Source organism: Homo sapiens, chromosome 2 (assembly GCF_000001405.40).
Source record: "Homo sapiens chromosome 2, GRCh38.p14 Primary Assembly".
Classification (NCBI taxonomy): domain Eukaryota; kingdom Metazoa; phylum Chordata; class Mammalia; order Primates; family Hominidae; genus Homo; species Homo sapiens.
This window is the reverse complement of record NC_000002.12, coordinates 99,646,099-99,665,186: the sequence shown is the minus strand read 5'-3', so window position 1 is coordinate 99,665,186 and position 19,088 is coordinate 99,646,099. Positions and strand designations below refer to the sequence as shown.

The 19,088-nt window shown below is 41.7% G+C and overlaps 1 protein-coding gene and 1 long non-coding RNA gene across 29 annotated transcripts in view; one reads left to right on the top strand and one right to left on the bottom strand.

Annotated features, from left to right (window-relative positions):
• The window catches only part of AFF3 (ALF transcription elongation factor 3), a 597,172-nt gene that overhangs the window by 477,404 nt on the left and 100,680 nt on the right, over positions 1 to 19,088 (top strand). For 20 of the 28 annotated variants that reach the window (NM_002285.3, XM_047444286.1, NM_001386135.1 and 17 more), the window contains one exon: positions 15,521 to 15,561. In NM_002285.3, the coding sequence (NP_002276.2) occupies positions 15,521 to 15,561 (41 nt within the window). The remainder of the gene's footprint in view (positions 1 to 15,520; positions 15,562 to 19,088) is intronic. The other 8 variants (XM_011511169.4, XM_047444278.1, XM_047444284.1 and 5 more) reach the window with 1 other exon arrangement.
• On the bottom strand, positions 3,371 to 7,137 carry LOC124906051 (uncharacterized). Its single transcript, XR_007087155.1, has 3 exons — positions 6,921 to 7,137; positions 5,437 to 5,536; positions 3,371 to 4,288 (listed from the first exon to the last, which is right to left on the bottom strand). It is a non-coding gene; the product is annotated as an uncharacterized LOC124906051 (long non-coding RNA).

The window sequence follows — 19,088 nt, the reverse complement described above, 5'->3', positions numbered from 1 at the left end:
CGGGATCAAATTCGGAGCCCTCAGCATGGCCGACACTACCCTGCACCATCTGGCTTTGTCCACGTCTCATCTTCACACTGAGCTCATTTGTGGCCCGGCCCTTCTCCCAGCTCCTGCAGGAAGCTGAGCTCTGCTGCCTTAGGGCCTCCATAGGCCTCTACTCCCTCACTTTTGCCTTGCTAACACCTACTCATGTTGGAGGCACAGCATAACTTTCACTTCCTCAGGGAGACCTCCCTCTTATCTAATCAACTCCCAGTTAGTCCGTCTCACAGTATCCTTCATCTTTTTACCTGAATCTCATCGTAATTTTAGTTATATGTTATGTTTACTTTTTCTAAGATCTGTCTACACCAGCTAAACTGGAAGTTTCCTGAGGGCAGGGACTGTGTCTGGCACAGCAGAACTGCTAAATATTTGTTGAACGAATGCGTGGATAAATGCATAGTGATGCCTTCAATTGAGAGTATTTCCCACTGTCCATTGTACAATATCAAAGATGACCTTTGCTCTGCCTTTGTTCCTTTTCCTGAACTCTATGATTTTTCAAATGAGTTCTGTCCAAACATCAAAAGTATTGACAGAGATGACAAAAATATAAGGCCCAATATCTTAAATTGGCTATAGATTAATACACAAATAACCTATTTGAGAAAAAAGGCATTTATCCGATCTCCATGGAAATGTCTATAGCCCCTTCTTAAGGATGCTTACATCAAGCTATATTGAAACTACAAGTTTTCATAAGTTATCTCAAACAGAAGTCTTCAAAACCAAGAGACTGAGTTTCTCCACAGCCTTCCCTTTCAAGAATAACCAAATTTTGGCTGTAGCCTCTAGTGCTGGGGTTGTGACCAGGTTTCCTTAGAAAGTTTACAAACATAAATGAAATGGAAGCATAGCCTTATGGTTGCACCTATGATTTTCACACTGGATGAGGTTCCAACTGGAAATAGCACAAAATATCTGAGAATCAGCTTTCTTATTTAATCTGAGTAAATGAAAGGTATGTGATACCTGGAGTAATTTGTTTGATCTCCTTTCTGTAACTGTTGGTTTTAACAATTCCAAAGACCAATGTTTTTGTGAAACAATGTGAAGGAATTAGAAGACTTAAGACAGTAAGTATTAAAAAAATTTAATAGATTAGGAAGGGACTGATTAATTATATTGCATGTCTTCCCATTTGGCAAAAAGATGAGCTCTGCCTCTCAAGTCAGGGTAAGCTTGGGAGGTTGGACACAAGCAAATAAGTAGATGGCATTACTATAGCTAAGGCATGAGGACAGGGACACATGATTAAGACTTTCAGCAAGGAGCAGCTGAGATAGTGTCAACTGCAGACAAGTGTTTCGGAGATGACAAATACATAGCTTAGGGAGAGGAAGGGACCAGGGATCTAAATTGAATGGCTATGTACATGCCTGCAGCTTCCAGTAATTACGTTATCCAAACATATTGGGCAGTCTTTTTATTTTAACTCTGTTGCCACATTTTTCTCTTTAAATGAACATGGTTTATCCCCTTTAACTGACTATTTTAATTTTACAGACAACAATCATTGGATCTAATCTGTAGAGGGAAATTTCCCCATTGGCGTTAATTTACTTCTTGCACAATGAAAAGCTGCCTTTTAATCCCCAATCAATATTTGGAGAGCATGCAATTAATTTAATAGATATCTAGATCATTAACATAAATCTGCAAATTAAAGAGCCAATTATTTTCTTATTTATAATGCATAGAGTAATAGTCGTGTCTCTTAGAAATAATGTAAAGCCTTGCTTCATCAAGATACCAAGATTGTAGGTGAGGTTGCTCTGAGCACAAAATTGCAGTTCTTATTGCTGTTTCCTTTGGTTTCCTATGGAGCAGCACAAGAAACATTCCCATCTCAATTCTGTGCTCTTTACCACAGAGATTACTGGATGACTCACATCAGTTTTGGGTGTACTCTTAAAAGCAGATTGCCAATTGTAATGGAAGCTCTTCATTTTTTCCCTTGTTTCTTTTTAATATGACAATTGCATAACACAAAGCAGAGCTTTTAAAATGTCTGAAAGCATTGACAGTACATGTCAATCAGTAACTAAATGAATTAGCTGAATGATATGCAGACATGGAATAAAAACATAGGAGGTTTTTGCAGCCCAACTCTACTTCCTTAGTTGCATTTTTCTTCTCAGGATCAGCTTGGTTGATCCTGACGCTCTTGGCCTGTGAAAATTTATTACCCACAGAGTCAATCTGCATTCAGGCAGCCAAGTCTGAATAAATAGAATCATTGTGCTTGTCTGGGATTTGTGGCCAGGGTTCATCCAGTCAGCGTGACATTCACATCCCAGGAGATTCATAAAAGCCAACACCCTGGTATGTGCTCTTGAATCCTGCCAAAATTGTGTAGAATTATATAAACAGGAGTTGAAGCAGTAATCAGGACCAGGTTTGAGGGGCAAGGCTCCAAAATGAAGTTTCTCCTACATTAGAAATGAACTGTATTGTCAATGTTATTTGTAGGCAAACAAGAGCTAGACAGTTTTTGCAAAAAACTGAGTATAGTCTCAAATACCTACTAAGTACCAAACATCATGTAAGATGCTGGCTTGTTGGTCTTAATGAATTAGACATTAGTAATATTCGTTATGATAACTTAACCACAGATATTTTGAGTAAATTTTCAATGCCAGGAAATCCCTTGCCCCAATGGACCATACAAAAAGTATATATTAAATATATTAAACCTCATAGCAACACAGAAAAAAAGAATACTGTATGTTCGTTTTTCTTTTTAGTCTTGCATTTTATGTTGTACCTGAGCTAAATACCCAATCTGTTCATAATAACTAATTGGTTTCTATTAATATGGAAACAGAACAATAACTCTAATTGAAAACTGCCTATCAGACCTTTTTCATATCCGTATATGAAGTAATCATATATTTGAACCTCCCATCATAATCAGTGAAACTCAAATGTTCAGCAGAAGGGTTGGTTTGTTTGTTTAACCATCCTAAAGCTTTTAGTTAAGTAATTGCCTTTTTTTTTTTTGAGACAGAGTCTTGTTCTGTTGCCAGGCTGAAGTTCAGTGGCGCGATCTTGGCCCACTGCAACCTCCGCCTCCCGGGTTCAAGCGATTCTCCTGCCTCAGCCTCCTGAGTAGTTGGGACTACAAGTGTGTGCCACCATGCCCAGCTATTTTTTGCATTTTTAGTAGAGACGGGGTTTCACCGCGTTGGCCAGGATGGTCTCAAACTTCTGACCTCAGGTGATCCCCCTGCCTTGGCCTTCCAAAGTGTTAGCATTATAGGCATAAGCCAGCGAGCCTGGCCAGTAATTGTATTTTATAAATAAAATTTTACTGTCACCAGAAGCAAACACAAAATTATTTTATTTTATCATGCCACTCTTTATAAACATTTGCAAAAAGCACAAGCATAGGTAGAAATATACAAACATGTAATTGCCTTTTTTTCATGTTAATGGACTATAATTTCCAAAATTGAAATGGTCAGCCAACTTAAATATCACTGAGCACAGAGACTCATAACGCTGTTTCCTAAAATATTTTCTCATCGAATCTCCTCGGAGACTCAATGGAGATTTATGTAGATTTAGTTGTGTCCAACCAGCCTGGGCCATGGGATATGCCTAGTTTCAGCCTGAGGACCCTAAATGGAAATCTGGAAAAAGAAAATTATATAAAAACCAAAACATGATCCATCAAATTTGGGCAAACATACAATTAAGACAAAAATGGGAAACCATTGCCTTTGTTATGATGAAGAATTCATAAAAGGATCTACATTTTTGAAAGTAAGCGAAGTTTTTGTTAATGGTGGGTATCAATACCACCAACACAGACTCTCCATTCAGGAGCCAGGAGAGGGGTTAGGCATCATTAGTTGATAGGCACGCTTTTCTCAAACACAGCTGCCAGCAGGGTTGCTGGTTGGCAGAAGAAGTGGAATTCTCCCTCCAGGGGACATTGTTATTTAACTCAGAGGAATAGCCCTTTGTCCCATGACTTCAATGGTTTTTTTCTTCAGTAGCTTTTCAGGAAGTGAAACCCTACAAGAGATGTTGTTCCTTGGAGTATACGCTATCCCTCATTTCCAGGCATGGGCAGTGTCATATAGTAAAGGATTTACCGACAGTCCCTCAGGTGTTTGGTCCAGATATACAGTTGTAAAGTTGAGTTTTTGTTTTTCTTTTTCCAAAGCTTCTCCGAGTAGGGCTGGTTATCTCACAAGCCCAGCTTTTCTCAGGAGACTCTCTTAGCCTGTTGTTTCTACACGGAGAAAAATCATGTGTGATCATTCAAGGTCCCTTGGCACTTCCCAATTCCATCCCCACCAGATCTGCAGCCAAAAGGTTGTGTTAATTAAAACAAGACCATGTTTAAGAAGCAGACCAGATAGTGGCTAGAATGTTAGGCCCCCAGATATGGTCATCTGCACGCTAGAAAACCCTGCACGCAAGGATTCCAGTAGAGAGATCTGATTCTCTGGAGAGATCTGATTCACATTATTTCTCTGAGTACCTCTTCTTTCAACCTGGATTTGTTCTTAAAGTTCAAGGCATTTCAAAGAAGACTGTGTGATTATTATACATTACATGCGAAAGCACTTTCACATATAAATCGTAAAGCACTGTTCACTTGAGAGGTAAAAATCCTGATAACAATAATAACACATTCAGAACTGGTTCAGCTTTCTCTTGTATAATTGGTTTGCAAAGTGCAATTAAGAAATTAGGAGAATCTTTCCTAATCATTACAAACCTGTTTTTACCTTCAAATATTGCTATTTTGCCTAAGTAAAAAAAGGTTTAAATGAAACATAAAGCCAGACTTAGATTTAAGTTCTTCAAGCCCAGATTGCATTTTTAACAAAAATACCAAAACATTTTGTGTTATTTTCATCTGGTCTTTCTACAAAAACAAAGTAACATTTGTATTTCACAATTTAGGCGCTAGTTGCTTTCATATTACTCAACCACCTGCCAAGGCCAGTGGAAAGTGGACAGGACTCTACCAAAGCATCATATTGCGATAGCATAAGGACTTTTTAAAGGTCCAGAATGTATTTGGCAAACTGAACAAAATAGGAAATGACTAATCCCAGTATCCACCTGCTGAGCCAAAGATGAAAGCCATTAATGGACATCGCCATCTTGGCCTTGCTCAAGGTCTGGCCTGCATTGAAATTGCCCTGTGAGATGAGTTCCAGGAACATGTGAATGACCAAAGCCCAGATGAGCAGGCCACAGAGTCATGATGGAACCTGCAGTACTTAGTGCTTTCATCTGGTGGAGGGATTGGACCACGAAGCAGCGGTTTCTGCGCACACAGGTCTTTTTTGTGCTAGGAAACTTGATCCATTGTCCAAGCAGAACCTAAATAGTCTAGGCTGTGATAAGGAGCTACGTCAGTATCACCTTTATGCAAAGCTTCATCGTGTGCATACGATCGCCTCATGCTCCAGTCACTCTGACATGTCATCTCTTCTGCATTAAATTCCACCAAGGCTGGAACTATCTGGAAAGACAAGTCAACTGGCACTTTTCGAACTTAGCACTTATTAGTGGCGATTTACTTTCTATTTTTTCCCCTAAAATTGTATGTCACAGACCTCTAGAAAAGACCTGCCCATTCTAGTGAGATCTGGAAGCCAAGGCAGCTGTCCAGAAGATAAATCACTTCCTCACTTTGACCAGCATCACCATCTGCACTCCACATTTAAACTTCCATTCCTAAGAACCAGAAGTTTAGATGCATATACTACCTGCATTGTATCTCCTAGCAGCTCAGCCAGCGTTGGGTCTGATGGCTACTCTTGTTTGTTTGCTGTCACTTTGAAATTGTAGCTAGACAGGCACATGTATGCATGTGTGCACATCCAGAAGGCACAGTTGCCTTGCCAAAACTCAGTCCCAGGAACCACATTTCAGCCACCTGATTCTGAGAACAGGCAGCTGAGCTTGGATCTTCCACCAGCATCCAACAGCACCAGTAGGTTTGCCCGCTCTGCCAGGCGAATCTTCAGCGATGTTCGCTCCTACCCAGACCTAACCCAGACAGCTACTTCCTTTACATAGTTCTGTCATGGTGAGCCCTGGAGGTAAAAAGAATTCTTCCCCAGAAGATTTTGACAAGGGCCAAGATCAACAATAAGGATATAACCCTCTTGAGAAGAGAAGTTAGTCTCAGAAACCTGAAATCCTCCCATCTCCTTTGCCAACACTTGTCTAAGAGGTGACTCCTATTATTCCCCTTCACTGGCATCCCCAGATAAAGGTTTCCCCCAGTGTCTGTTAGCATCCACCCAGTGTCCCAGCAGTCCTCTTCTCACTGAAACTGCCACAGTTCAGAATTCACCTAGTCCCCTTTGCTTTCAACCTCCAGCCACAGGAGTCCATGGTGAGGCCAAGACAGAATGGGGCTGCTCTGTGGAGCCCTCACTGGCCTGGTTCCTTTACTTACTGGCTCTGAGACCACAGGCAAGCTAATCTTCCTGGACCTCTGTTTCAATATCTTAAATGCACTGGACAAAAATATTAAAGTAGATTAATATAAAATATTTTCTATGAATATAAATAAATGTTAGTATAAAATTATGAAAACAAGCCTGGCCAACGTGGTGAAACCCCATCTCTACTAAAAAACAACTACAAAAATTAGCCAGGCGTGGTAACAGGCACCTGTAATCCCAGCTACTCAGGAGGCTGAGGCTGAGTTGCCCCGAGAATCTGGCTTAGGGCTAGATATCACCCACCCCACATCATGGTGAACACTAATAACCTCACACATGGTCATGGTCTTCTTGCCATCATCCTCCCACTTCAGAGTGACCTCTTACCACCCCCACACCAGGCATGTGTCCCCCAGCCCTCCTCCAGGCATCCTTCAGGGCCCCTCTCACCTATAATGTTGCTTTCATGGTGTTCAGAATGTCCTGCCCTGCAGGGTGCCATGTATCTTCTATGCCCTCCATAGAGCCTTTACCTGGACAGGGACAGTCCCTGCGGCACCCTCTCATGTTGTCCTCACACCTTTCTCTTCTTGCTTCTGACTGATAGCATCTGCCTTCGTTTTCATTTGTGATGGCAAAAGCCTCCAGAGTCTAGAAGAGCCACGTGCTTTGGAGCAAGGAGAACCAGGAAGTGGATGTCACACGTGGGTTTATCTCTAGGGAGTGAAATGTCCTAGAAATGCTCAAAAAAATAAGTATGTCTCTCTCAGTCCTCTCGGATTTGACTTGCCAAATTAGAGCCGTCCCTGACAATCTGGCCTCACGTAAGGCCCCCAGATCACTCTGTTGATAACAGAATCCACCTTATGAGATAATGTTGCCTGTGCAAACTTCATCTGGTATGGTCAACCCTAATCAGCATTTTTCTCAGGATATACTAGGTGCTCAATAAATGTTTTTTATTGTCTATCAAATTTCTAGTAGACATAAACAAACCTAAGTAATGTGGGGAAGCAGAAGATAGTCAAATATTTTTCAAAGAGGAAAATGTGTCCAAGTATTTAAATAAAGCAAATAGGGAAATAATACACAGATGTGAAAAAAATGTATTTCCACAAACCTCTTAGATTGGAGATCGTGGCAAACAGTAGTATTTGTCATCCCCGAGGTTACCTGCTCACATCTTGTAAGTGTTATGGGTTGAGAGAGAGCTCTTTTAGGTGGAGGGAAAATGAGCTAGGATCTCTGCCATCAATGTTCTTTTAAGGAACTTGGGAAGCCAAAAATAAAATTGTCATGAGGCAGACGGCATACTCCCCAAAAATGACTAGAATCCAGGGCTACTTCATGTTACAGACTAGGAGTGCATGGAGAGGAGCTTGAGAACTTTTACAAAAGAGTTAACACTTAACACAAAGGGTGAGCTAGACCTCAGAGTGTCTGCTGTGAACAGAGGGAGGAGCTGATAGACAGAGAGCCAGAAAATCACACAAGCATCAGTTGGACTCAACATTAGGAATTAGAAGGATTCGTCCTCTGCTGACCCCGTTCAGCTCTGTGCTTTCGTTATTGGCATGCTCCTCAGGCCCTGAGGTCTGCCTTCTTATCATGATCTTATTTAACAGGGTTTATAAGCAGCAAGTCATATTTGCACAGAGCAGTCCTCATTAGAGCGACTGTACAGCCCCATGTGCCCAGAACAGCCAGGTTTTCTCGTTTTGTCTCTGACTCCAGTCTGGTTAGCATCCCCTTTCTCTCTCAAATTTGTTCTTATTTGGATGATAAATTATATTATCATCCCTGACTGCCTGACCCCTATAGAGAATGGGATGAGGTCAAAGTTGACCGAACAAAATGCTTCCTAGGCAGCATTTATTTCTAGGAATCCGAAAATGCAAAAGACTCATTATTGCTGAGGAAAAAATAGAGAGGAGTAAGAATTTTTCCTTTGTCTTGCAGATATTACTAAACGGGTTGAAAAATACTAAATGGAAGCCCACAACATAAAAAGTTAAGAGACCCATTAACTAGGACTGAAGTGGAAAACAATGGCATAAAAGTTCAGATAATGAAACATAAAATTGCTTATAGATGTGGAAGGAAATTAAACCGTGAAATAAATTAATAAGTACAAGTCTCAACTTGAAAAAGAACAGCAAAAATGTAAGGCTTTACAAATAGAACTTCTATAAAAATATGTGATTGGGTCTAAATTTTACAGTGTGCTTCAGTAACAGCAAAACACAAACTAAGATTGGCTGCAAGGGCGTTTATTCAAGTATTTGAATATGGATACAATGTCCTATCACAGGTGCAACAAGCTGATTAAAATCCCTGTGCAGAGATACCTCCTTTATTGTCAGCAGAATAAATCTGATACTGTTGATAGCAAAAATGGAGGTTACTGACATCCATAATGAAAACACAAAGATATATCCCAACCAGTTGAAACCTAAATCTTTTTCTCTTAGAACAGTAGCAAAATGTAGATCCAGAAACCTCAATCCATTTTTTATGACTGTTATTGATGTTTCTTACTTAATTGGCATTTAATAACTTCAGTCGCATGCATCCAGCTAGCTACTCAGAGTCTCCACTGAAACATCTTGTAGGCAACTTTAACTTCACACACCCAACACTCAATTCTGCCTTTGCCCCCTGCTCTTATGCCCCCAGTTTAATCCACTTAACAAGTGGATCTCCATCCATACCAGGTGCCCAAGCCAGAAACCTGGACCTCACACCTGATGCCTCTCCCTGGCCTGCCACATCCAATCAGTCACCTGTTCCCTCAATCAGACCTTCACAATGTAACACTAGCTCTCTCCATCTTCACTACTACCATGCTCTTCTCTTGCCCACATCACTGCAATAACCTCAAACTTTGTCGCTTCCTACCCAATTCCATTCATCATGCAGAAGCCAGCAAGATGTTTGAAAAATCTTATTGCCTCCCTCCGTACTATTTTTTTTAATTATATAATAGATTCACAGGAAGTGCAAAGAACATATAAGCAAGCCCCATGCATGCTTCACCCAGCTTCCCCTAATGTAAACCCTTCGATGACTTTCTATTGTCCTGTGTTAATACCTAACATACTTCACTTGATGTCTAAAACCCTTGGGATTGGCCTCATCTTGCTCTGCTGCTGTCCCTACCACTTGCCGAACCGCAGCACAGTGACATCTTGTAGTTCTTCAGCTGAGCCAGGATCTAGGCCAGCTCCTGGCCTTTGCTCCCAAACTAGAGCTTCCCTGCCTAGAGCACTCCCCTCGCCACCCACCCCCATTTCTCTGATGTGATCATTTTTCTTTATCCTTTAAGCCTCAGCTTTGTTATTTCTTACTTAGTAAGCCTTCCTTGACACTCATTCCAAACAAGGTTTCCTTCATTAGTTGGTTTCAGAGCACCCTGTCCTCTTCAGCCATGCCCCTTGGAATGTAGACTGCTGTGTGTGTGTGTGTGTGTGTGTGTGTGTGTGTGTGTGTGTGTGTGTGTGTGTAGCTTTTCATGTCTGCCCCACCTCTAGACACTAAGCACAATATTGCAAGGGCTTTGCTTGTTGTGACTGCCACCTAAGCCAAGTCCAGTGCTTGCACATAGTAGGTACTTCAGACTGAATTACAAACCTCTCCAGGCGTAAGTTCTGTTTCTATCAAGTAAGAAATGAGATCATTCTGAGAGCCCTCTGAATTTCAGCCTCTCCCTTTGTTTTCCTCCCCACTCCAGGATCCATGAGCTTGTTCAGTGCTTGACCCAATTACAATAAGGGCATTTAATTTCCTCTTTGATTTCCCTTCAATAACAGAATGTGACTTGTAATTCATTTAGCATACATTGAAACCTGAATATCTACTGATTGTGTTCCCAAGCAACAAGCTTGCTATAATAAAGACAGAGAAAATATGTCATCTCTTGAGGAGAACCTGAAAATGGCAATTTCTGGCAGAAAAAAAAGAACATGTTTTGTCTCATAGACTGGAGTTTAGAATCATTCGTAATGAATAATGAACTCAGGAAGGATCAATGACGTGTTCTCTTAACCCTCTCAACCTATTTTGCTGAGAACTGAATAAAAGGCAAGTCGCAAGGAAGAGATGATGTGAGATTTAGGAAGAGAAAAATATAGTTGCTGTAATGTATAACTCTTGAAGGAATGAAATTGGGCAATTCATCTAGTTTACTATGAGTACTTTTTCAAGTTTCAATCATGAGTCACCTAATTTTTTCTTTGCCATTTAATTCCAATATTTATTCGTTTCATTATTTTCCAGTAGTAAAATAAAATAGTGTGCAAAAGCTGAAGGTTTTTTTAAAGAGAGGAGTCAGTAAAAACATCTTGGTGGCCTTTGCTCTGGTATATATACAATTAATATAATGCCATGAAGGGTTTTTTCCTCAAATTATTTAAAACATCTGACATATACTCCTCTTCTTTCATAATAGATGGTGAGTTTTTGTAAAATTTTTAATGATGTAGAGTGACTGCAAATTAAATAGCACAATGAAAATTAGTCATTAAAAAATAGCAGAGCAGGCCAGGCGCAGTGGCGCACACCTGTAACCCCAGCACTTTGGGAGGCTGACGCAGGCAGATCACTTGAGGTCAGGAATTCGAGACCAGCCTGACTAACACAGTGAAACCCCGTCTCTACTAAATACAAAAAAATTAGCTGGGTTTGGTGGCGCATGCCTGTAATCCCAGCTACTCTGGAGGTTGAAGCAGGAGAATCGCTTGAACCAGGGAGGCAGAGGTTGCAGTAAGCTGAGACCGCATCACTGCACTCCAGCCTGGGCAACAAGAGTGAAACAACATCTCAAAAAAAAAAAAAAAAAGAAAAAAAGCAGTGCAGGCAATTGATGGTGCTAAGTACCATGCTGTTGCATGCGTGGTAGCATACATCATGTGACAGATTGGAAGAGTGAAGAATCAACAGAGAACACTGCTTAGTGCCTCGTAGGGTGCCCTGTCTCTCGGCCCAGAAGGACCTTTTGTTCCCAGCATCACACCAGTCTGCTAAAGGAAAGCAGCCCTTGCTCTAAGCTTCCAACTCAGCTTGTATTAGAAGACGGGGCTAACATCAGTCCTGTGGCATTGCCAACAGGTGCCGCCACTGGGATGCCTCAATTCCTAGGCACTCCATTGGCGGCCAGACAGCAGTGTTTCTTCTTTTTGTTTGTTTGTTTTCCTTTCGCTTTTTAAATCATTTTCTGACCAGCTGCACATCAGCAAGCGCTGTTTCCGTATCACAGAAGTCAGCAGGAATTGTTTGGAGGTGGGAGAGAAAAGAGTCAATAGCCTTTTAAAATATTGACAGCCTTGGTCTATTTCCATGACTAGGGAGAAATTCAGATGCCATGTTGAAGGTTTCTATTGAACTTTTAGTTACACCTCTTATGATTTCTGTTACTCCAGGAGGAGCCAGTCTCTCATGGCTCCTGCTGAGATGATGTTAAGAGACAATACTAATAATACATTCCACCTTTCTTTGGGGCAGTTCAAAAATACTTCTTGTATATTCAGCCAAACAGTCAGGAGTAGGGAGTTAAATTAAGTTCAAGTATCGCGGCCTAAAGCGAAAGCCATCTTGCTGAGTGAGAGGGAAACTCTCCAGGAGACAAACCTGCCAGCAGTGATGCCACCTGTTGCCTGCTGGGTGCGTTTTATCAGCATGCTCTGCGCTGGCTCCATGGAAGAGCACAGGAGAGGGACTGAGGGGAGAGGGAAGCACCCATCCCTGGAGGTGTCTGCGTGGGTTCCTCAGGCTCCGGTCCTCTTCCCCTGCCTCTCGCTGCTCCCTCAGCTCTCCTTATCAAGAAGATCAGTAGATCTGTATTCTTTTATCTGTTGTGGTAATCCTATGACAATGGAATACCAGGACATGGGGTCTTCATTCAGAATCTAGGGAATGAGGAGGGGACAGTAACCCCTTGGATTGTCCATAGTAGCCTGGACACGGACTGACTGTCTCTTTCAGCACCCTATTCAGAGAAGGAAAGGGTGGTTTGGAAACTAAGCCGGAGGTTGAAGGCCAGACGCAAGGTCCATAGCAAATGAATGGCAAAACCTGTCCCAGAATGTCGGACTCTCCAACCCCGGCTCAACACACTAGATGGTTTTCCTAATTCAGTGTTGCTGCATTACTTATGGAAGTTGTCTCAATTCCCCTTATCTTTGCCAGGCCCTGGAGCTCATGTTCCCTACAGCCCTTCTTTCTGCTCTCCTTTCATTCCTACTCTGCCGCAGTGTTTCTCTGCAGGCACCCTTTGTCATTTTAAGGGGACAATTCTTCATTATACAAGGGACCTTCCTGCTCTTTGAAGGGCTTTAGTATCCCTGGCCCCAGACACTACTGCCATTATTGATCCCCCTCATGAATGTAATGCACAGAAACACCCTCATCAATTCCAGACACCCAGGGTTTGGGAGTCATGGGTGCCCCGGTTGAGAGCTGCTGCCAGAGGCTGGGACAGGCCCCTGCTGTGCCGTCTAGCCCAGTGCTATCAATGCCTTCTCTCTCCTGACCACATCCTTCCTTGTCTTTAAAATTATGCTCAGATTTCAGAGGGAAGGCTTTCCTGACTGATTCATCCCTCTAACATTTACTCAGCAGATATGTACTGACACCGGCTCATGGTTCCAGGCACCATTTGAGGAGTGGCCGCCCATCCCTGCACCTTCCTGACACTGCCCTGCCTTAATCTTTCATGTCCATGTTATTCTAAAAGTGTACCGAGGTCATCCAGCTCCTACCTTAGGAAGGAGCTTTTCTGGGACGATAACTGCTTCTACTTTTATTTTTATCCCAAGATGTGGAACTGTCACCAAGGGTGTATTTTATTTCCATAACAGAGAAAATGGTTCTGAGGTGACTTTTTTTTCTAACCTGAAGATTCTATTTTTCCTGATATCTAAATGTGATGGGCTATCAGCATGAGAAGTATTGTGAGGTCCTTGGTCAACAGTAAACATAGGCCAGGCGTGGTGGCTCACACCTGTAATCCCAACACTTTGAGGGGCAGAGGCGGGTGGATCATTTGAGGTCAGGAGTTCGAGACCAGCTTGGCCAACATGATGAGACCCTGTCTCTACTAAAAATACAAAAATTAGCTGGGTGTGGTGGCATACACCTGTAATCTCAGCTACTTGGGAGGCTGAGGCAGGAGAATCGCTTGAACCTGGGAGGCAGAGGTTGCAGTGAGCTGAAATCAGGCCACTACACTCCAGCCTGGGTGACAAAGAGATACTCTGTCTCAGAAAAAAAAAAACAGTAACCATGACCTGTGTATCATGCAAAGAGGAAAGGACCATTGCACACTCCTTGTTTCCCGGTGCATGCTGAGTAGGCCTGGTCTACTGACCTCCCCAGTCATGACTTCTGAGACAGAGAGCATCGTGTGCCATCTGCCTTCCTTGGCCTCATTGGGCCCAGAGATAGAAGGCAAATGGGTGAAAAATAGAATAGCCAGAGAAAAGGAAAGCAAGTACAAAACTTGGGAGAATCCGATGGAGAAATGGAGCCCTTTTTTTTTTTTTTTTTTGAGACAGACTTTTGCTGTTGTTGCCCAGGCTGGAGTACAATGGCGCGATCTCAGCTCACTGCAACCTCCGCCCCCCAAGTTCAAGCAATTCTCCTGCCTTGGCCTCCCGAGTAGCTGGAATTACAGACATGTGCCACCATGCCCATCTAATTTTGTATTTTTAGTAGAGACGGGGTTTCTCCCTGTTGGTCAGGCTGGTCTCGAACTCCTGACCTCAGGTGATCCACCTGCCTGGGCCTCCCAAAGTGCTGGGATTACAGGCGTGAGCCACCATGCCCGGCCAAAATAGAGCCTTTTTTATGATTTTTTTCTTTTAGTTTTTTTATTATGGGAAATTTCAGCATACACACACACACACACACACACACACACACACATTAATTTTAGTAGAAGAAAAAAACAAAAAACAAATCAATACATTTTCAATACAAAATGAAAGTTTTGTTCATTTCATGTAGGGAAATGGCCAGAATAATATAAGAACCTGCCCTGTGCTCATCGCCTAACGTCAGCAGTTCTCAGCCCAAGGCCATCTTGTCTTATGTATGTGCCCACCCACTCTGCCCTTCTCCCACTGTATTTTTTAAATTTTTTTATTTTATTTATTTATTTTTGAGATGGAGTTTTACTCTTGTTGCCCAGGCTGGAGTGCAGTGGCATGATCTTGGCTCACTGCAACCTCTGCCTTCTGGTTTCAAGCGATTCTCTTGCCTCAGCCTCCTGAGTCACTGGGACTACAGGCGCATGCCACCACACCCAGCTAATTTTTGTATTTTTAGTAGAGACAGGATTTCACCATGTTGGCCAGGCTGGTCTTGAACTCCTGACCTCAGGTGATCCACCTGCCTCAGCCTCCCAAAGTGCTGGGATTACAGGTGTGAGCCACCGCACCCAGCCCTCCCACTGTATTATCTTAAAGCATATCCCAACAGCAGATAATTGTATCCATTAACATTTCAATGTGAATTTTAAAAACCATTGTCATAATATCATTAACTATGCCTAAAGCAAATCAATAATCCCTTGAGATTTCTAGTGGCATTCCATATTCCAACTGTGGAAACTTTCAATCTGAAATCCGAGTGAAAAATTACACCTTCATTGGGAAAGAAGCTACAAAGAAACCAAAACAGACCTTTTTGTTTTCTTATAGGAAAGGACAATAAAGCAATGGGAAAGTGATTTCAGAGAAGTAGCTCTGGTCTTTGCCAATTTCCAGAGGCCTGTCCAAGCTTACCTGGGTACAGTCCTTTGCCCCCCCGACAAACTCATCCCCTAGTTGCAGGTGTGCATTGCCGGGCTTCAGTTAACTGTCCGTGAAGGTTCATTTCATCACACACATTTCACATTTTACAACAGTGCTCTCTACTTCATTGCTAGTCGTTTAAAATTTGGCCACATGGCAAAAATGTGTGTAATGCAGGGGTCTTTTTTTTAAGTGTTCATTGAGCACGTAATTCAAAAGTCAGAATATTAAATAAACATCTCTGCCCTTTCTTTCTTCCAGCAGGCAGCTCAGAGAACGGCTCTCCGCGCTCTCTCTGACAGGTACATTTTGTCATTTTTATGAACTATAAATTGCTTTATGAAACATTGAGCCCTATTTATTGTGGCATATAATTCATAATCGGATTTTGTCCCTAAAGTATCTCTGAACTGGGATGTTAAACATTTTGCATGCTTGGATTTATCATGCATGTGTGGAGTTTATCACTGCAAAAATCGCCTTGTTGTATTTCATAGCAAGTATGAAGAATCCCTTGTTGTGCAATGAAACAAGAGACAAGAAACTTAGAGAGAAAGGCCTGAGTGGTGCGGTAAATTCTGAACTTTGGAACTGGCTGAGATCTAAGCTCATTTTTCAGCAATAAATACTTCATTTATTTTGAGATGTTTTCTTCAGACTTTTTCCATATCATTTCACCGGGAGCTATCTATCTTTTGATAAGATTCTCTCTCTTGAAATATTTTATGCACATAACCCAACAACTCACGGTCCCACGTGCTTGACTTTTTACTCCTTGCTTTGGCGTCTTTCTCCTGGCGCGTGTTACTGAATGAGATGTGTAAACCTCATCAAGAAACACACACAGGCTGTATTTTATATCCTGCTTTGTCTGAAAGGCTGTAGACAGATAGTTGAATGTGGGTATGTAAAGTCACTTTCTAGAATAGACCAGACCCTTGGTTTGGTTTGGTTGGTTTTGGTTTTTGTTTTTTCACTTACTAAGATTGGAGAGAGAGAGAGAGAGAGAGTGTGTGTGTGTGTGTGTGTGTGTGTGTGTGTGCGCGCGTGTTTTGAGGAACTGTCAGGAGGTAAAGATGAAATCCCTGTGTGTCTCCACAGCATTAGAAGCAGCAGGAGGAGCTGTGCCCTTGGCTGACTGGCTGGCAGCCACCTCCACATTGTCTAGCTAACCTTCACCACCCTGCCTTCCTTCCCAGTTCCTTTTTCATGGAATGAGCCATCATTGACTGTGTAAACCAGCTTAGCTCGGTGCTTCCTCCAAAGTAAAACCTGTCACTTAGGCGAATTATCTGGTGTGCATGAGTGAAAAGCATTTTCTGTGTGGTGGCAGACTGAGCATGAGTATTTTTATTTCAATTACAAAACCTTCCCCATGACAACCACACAAGCCTGCGTGTCCTGAGTGGCTGGCACATGATCTTCTGGAATTGCTTTTGGGATTTTCACAAAAGCTGATGACTGCTCTGCTTCTGAATGTGTCAGTAGGAGGAGGAAAGAGTCTAGATCAAAACACATGTAGAATATAACATAGTCATTTCTTTCCTATACATATTTCTTTTCTGTCTTTGACTTTTCTTCTTAAGTAAGCAGTTCCTTCAACAAAATGCACTGAGACGCAAGGGAAACTTGGTCATTGTTAATGAGTACAAGATTTCTTTTGGAGATGATGATGTTGTAAAAATAGATTATGGTGATGGTTGCACAACCTTGTAAGTATACCAGACCACTGAATTGTATGCTTTAAATGGGTGAACTTTTTGGAATGTAAATTATATTTTAGTAAAGCTACACATATAAATACAGGAAAAAAAAGGTCATTATGACCTTTAGTAGAATGAATCAAAACCTATTTTAGGAAAATAAGGATTTATTTTGAAGACATGGTCACAAATACAAAGACAATTCATCAGAAACTAGGACTGATACATTCGAAGATTTCTTCCCAAAACATATACAACTTTGTCCTAAAGAGAAAATGTCCATGGATGTTAATGATGAACAATGCCATTTCCTTTTTTTCTGATATTTTCACAAAAAATCCCTTGTCAAGCCCATTCCCCACCCAAAAACAGAGGTTTTCATTGTCACCACTCTTCTTACAAATTTCTTTATCCTCAAATGTAATAGGGCATTTCCCTTACTTTACTGTAGCACTTTTTCTATTCAGAATTGGTCATTTCAAAGTGACGAGCTGACTTTGCTATTCTAGCAGTGCAGTTGTGTAAAGCTACCTTCTCTGTGTGTTTTCTTTTTTCTTTCTTTCTTTTTTTTTCTTCAACTTGTATTTTAAGTTCAGGGGCACATGTGCAGGATATGCAGGTTTGTTACATGGGTAAACATGTGCAATGGTGATTTGCTGCACCCATCAACCCATCACCTAGGTATTAAGCCCAGCATCTATTAGCTGTTCTTCTTGATGTTATCCCTCCCCTGACACCTCACCGGCAGGACCCAGTGTGTGTTTCCCCGTCATGGGTCTCATCATTCAGCTCCCACTTAACAAGTGAAAACATGTGGTGTTTGTTTTTCTGCTCCTGCATTAGTTTGCTGAGGATAATGGCTCCATCCATGTCTCTGCAAAGGACGTGATCTTGTTCCTTTTTATGGCTGTATAGTATTTCATGGCATATGTGTACCATATTTTCTTTACCCAGTCTATCGTTAATGGGCATTTGGGTTGATTCCATGTCTTTGCTACTGTGAACAGTGCTGCAGTGAACGTACACGTGCATGTGTCTTTATAATAGAATGATTTATATTCATTTGGGTATATACCCATTAATGGGATTGCTGGATCAAATGGTATTTCTGCCTCTAGGTCTTTGAAGAATCACCACAATGTCTTCCACAATGACTGAACTAATTTACACTCCCACCAACAGTGTACAAGCATTCGTTTTTCTCCACAGGCTCTCCAGCATCTGTTGTTTTTTGACTTTTCAATAACAGCCATTCTTTTTCTATTGTCTATTCTCTACTAATTCAGGGCCACAGACGTAATCCCCATAAGTGATAAGCATTTGTAACCATTTCAAGATGGAAATTAAAACCCTTCTTCAAAATAATGATTTTAAAACACTTGCTGAATTAATTGCATTCATATTTTCTAGTTTTTAAGTAGAGAATAACTTATCAAGTGACAGATGTCATTTTCTCTCACATTACTTATTCTTTTGAATAAACCAATATTTTCTAGAAAAATGACCCGAGTGCCTCAAGTCAGACCACTGTATGACTTGCCTAATGTTCTGGCTGCCAGAGGAACCTCAGGGTGGGAAAGGAATTGAGTAAAGATCTCCCCAGGTCCTGAATATCCCAAAGTGGGGTTCTAGGCCCAATATCTCTGGCTACTTGGAGCCTGGTATTAACCTATTATACATTCATTTACACAAACCATCCTGGTTCCCTAAACCTTTTGCTTTCAGCCTGTTATCACCTCTTTATATAAAATTTCATAATGATTAGCTCATGCCTTCATCTTTGTTCTTGGGGGAGAAGCACTTTTCAGACCTCAAAAGGTGCTTCCTGAGTTCTATAATTCTGGGACAGGACAGAAAAGCCCGTACTGGCTCTGGCCATGCACACTGGTTCCTCATGGAGGAGCATGTCTGTGACACACTCTGGGTCTTATCCTCCTTCAGAACCTCAGTGTCCTATAAGTTTGCTCATCCATGGGCTCATTTCACTTCCACTGAGCCTCAACCTTGAGTGTCCAGTGAACACAAGGACATTTAGACAAGGCCGGAGCTATTTTGTTCCAAGATACACAAATCGATGATGAAACAGGATTTCATTGACTTGGGGTTGGTGGAAGGACATGAGTTTA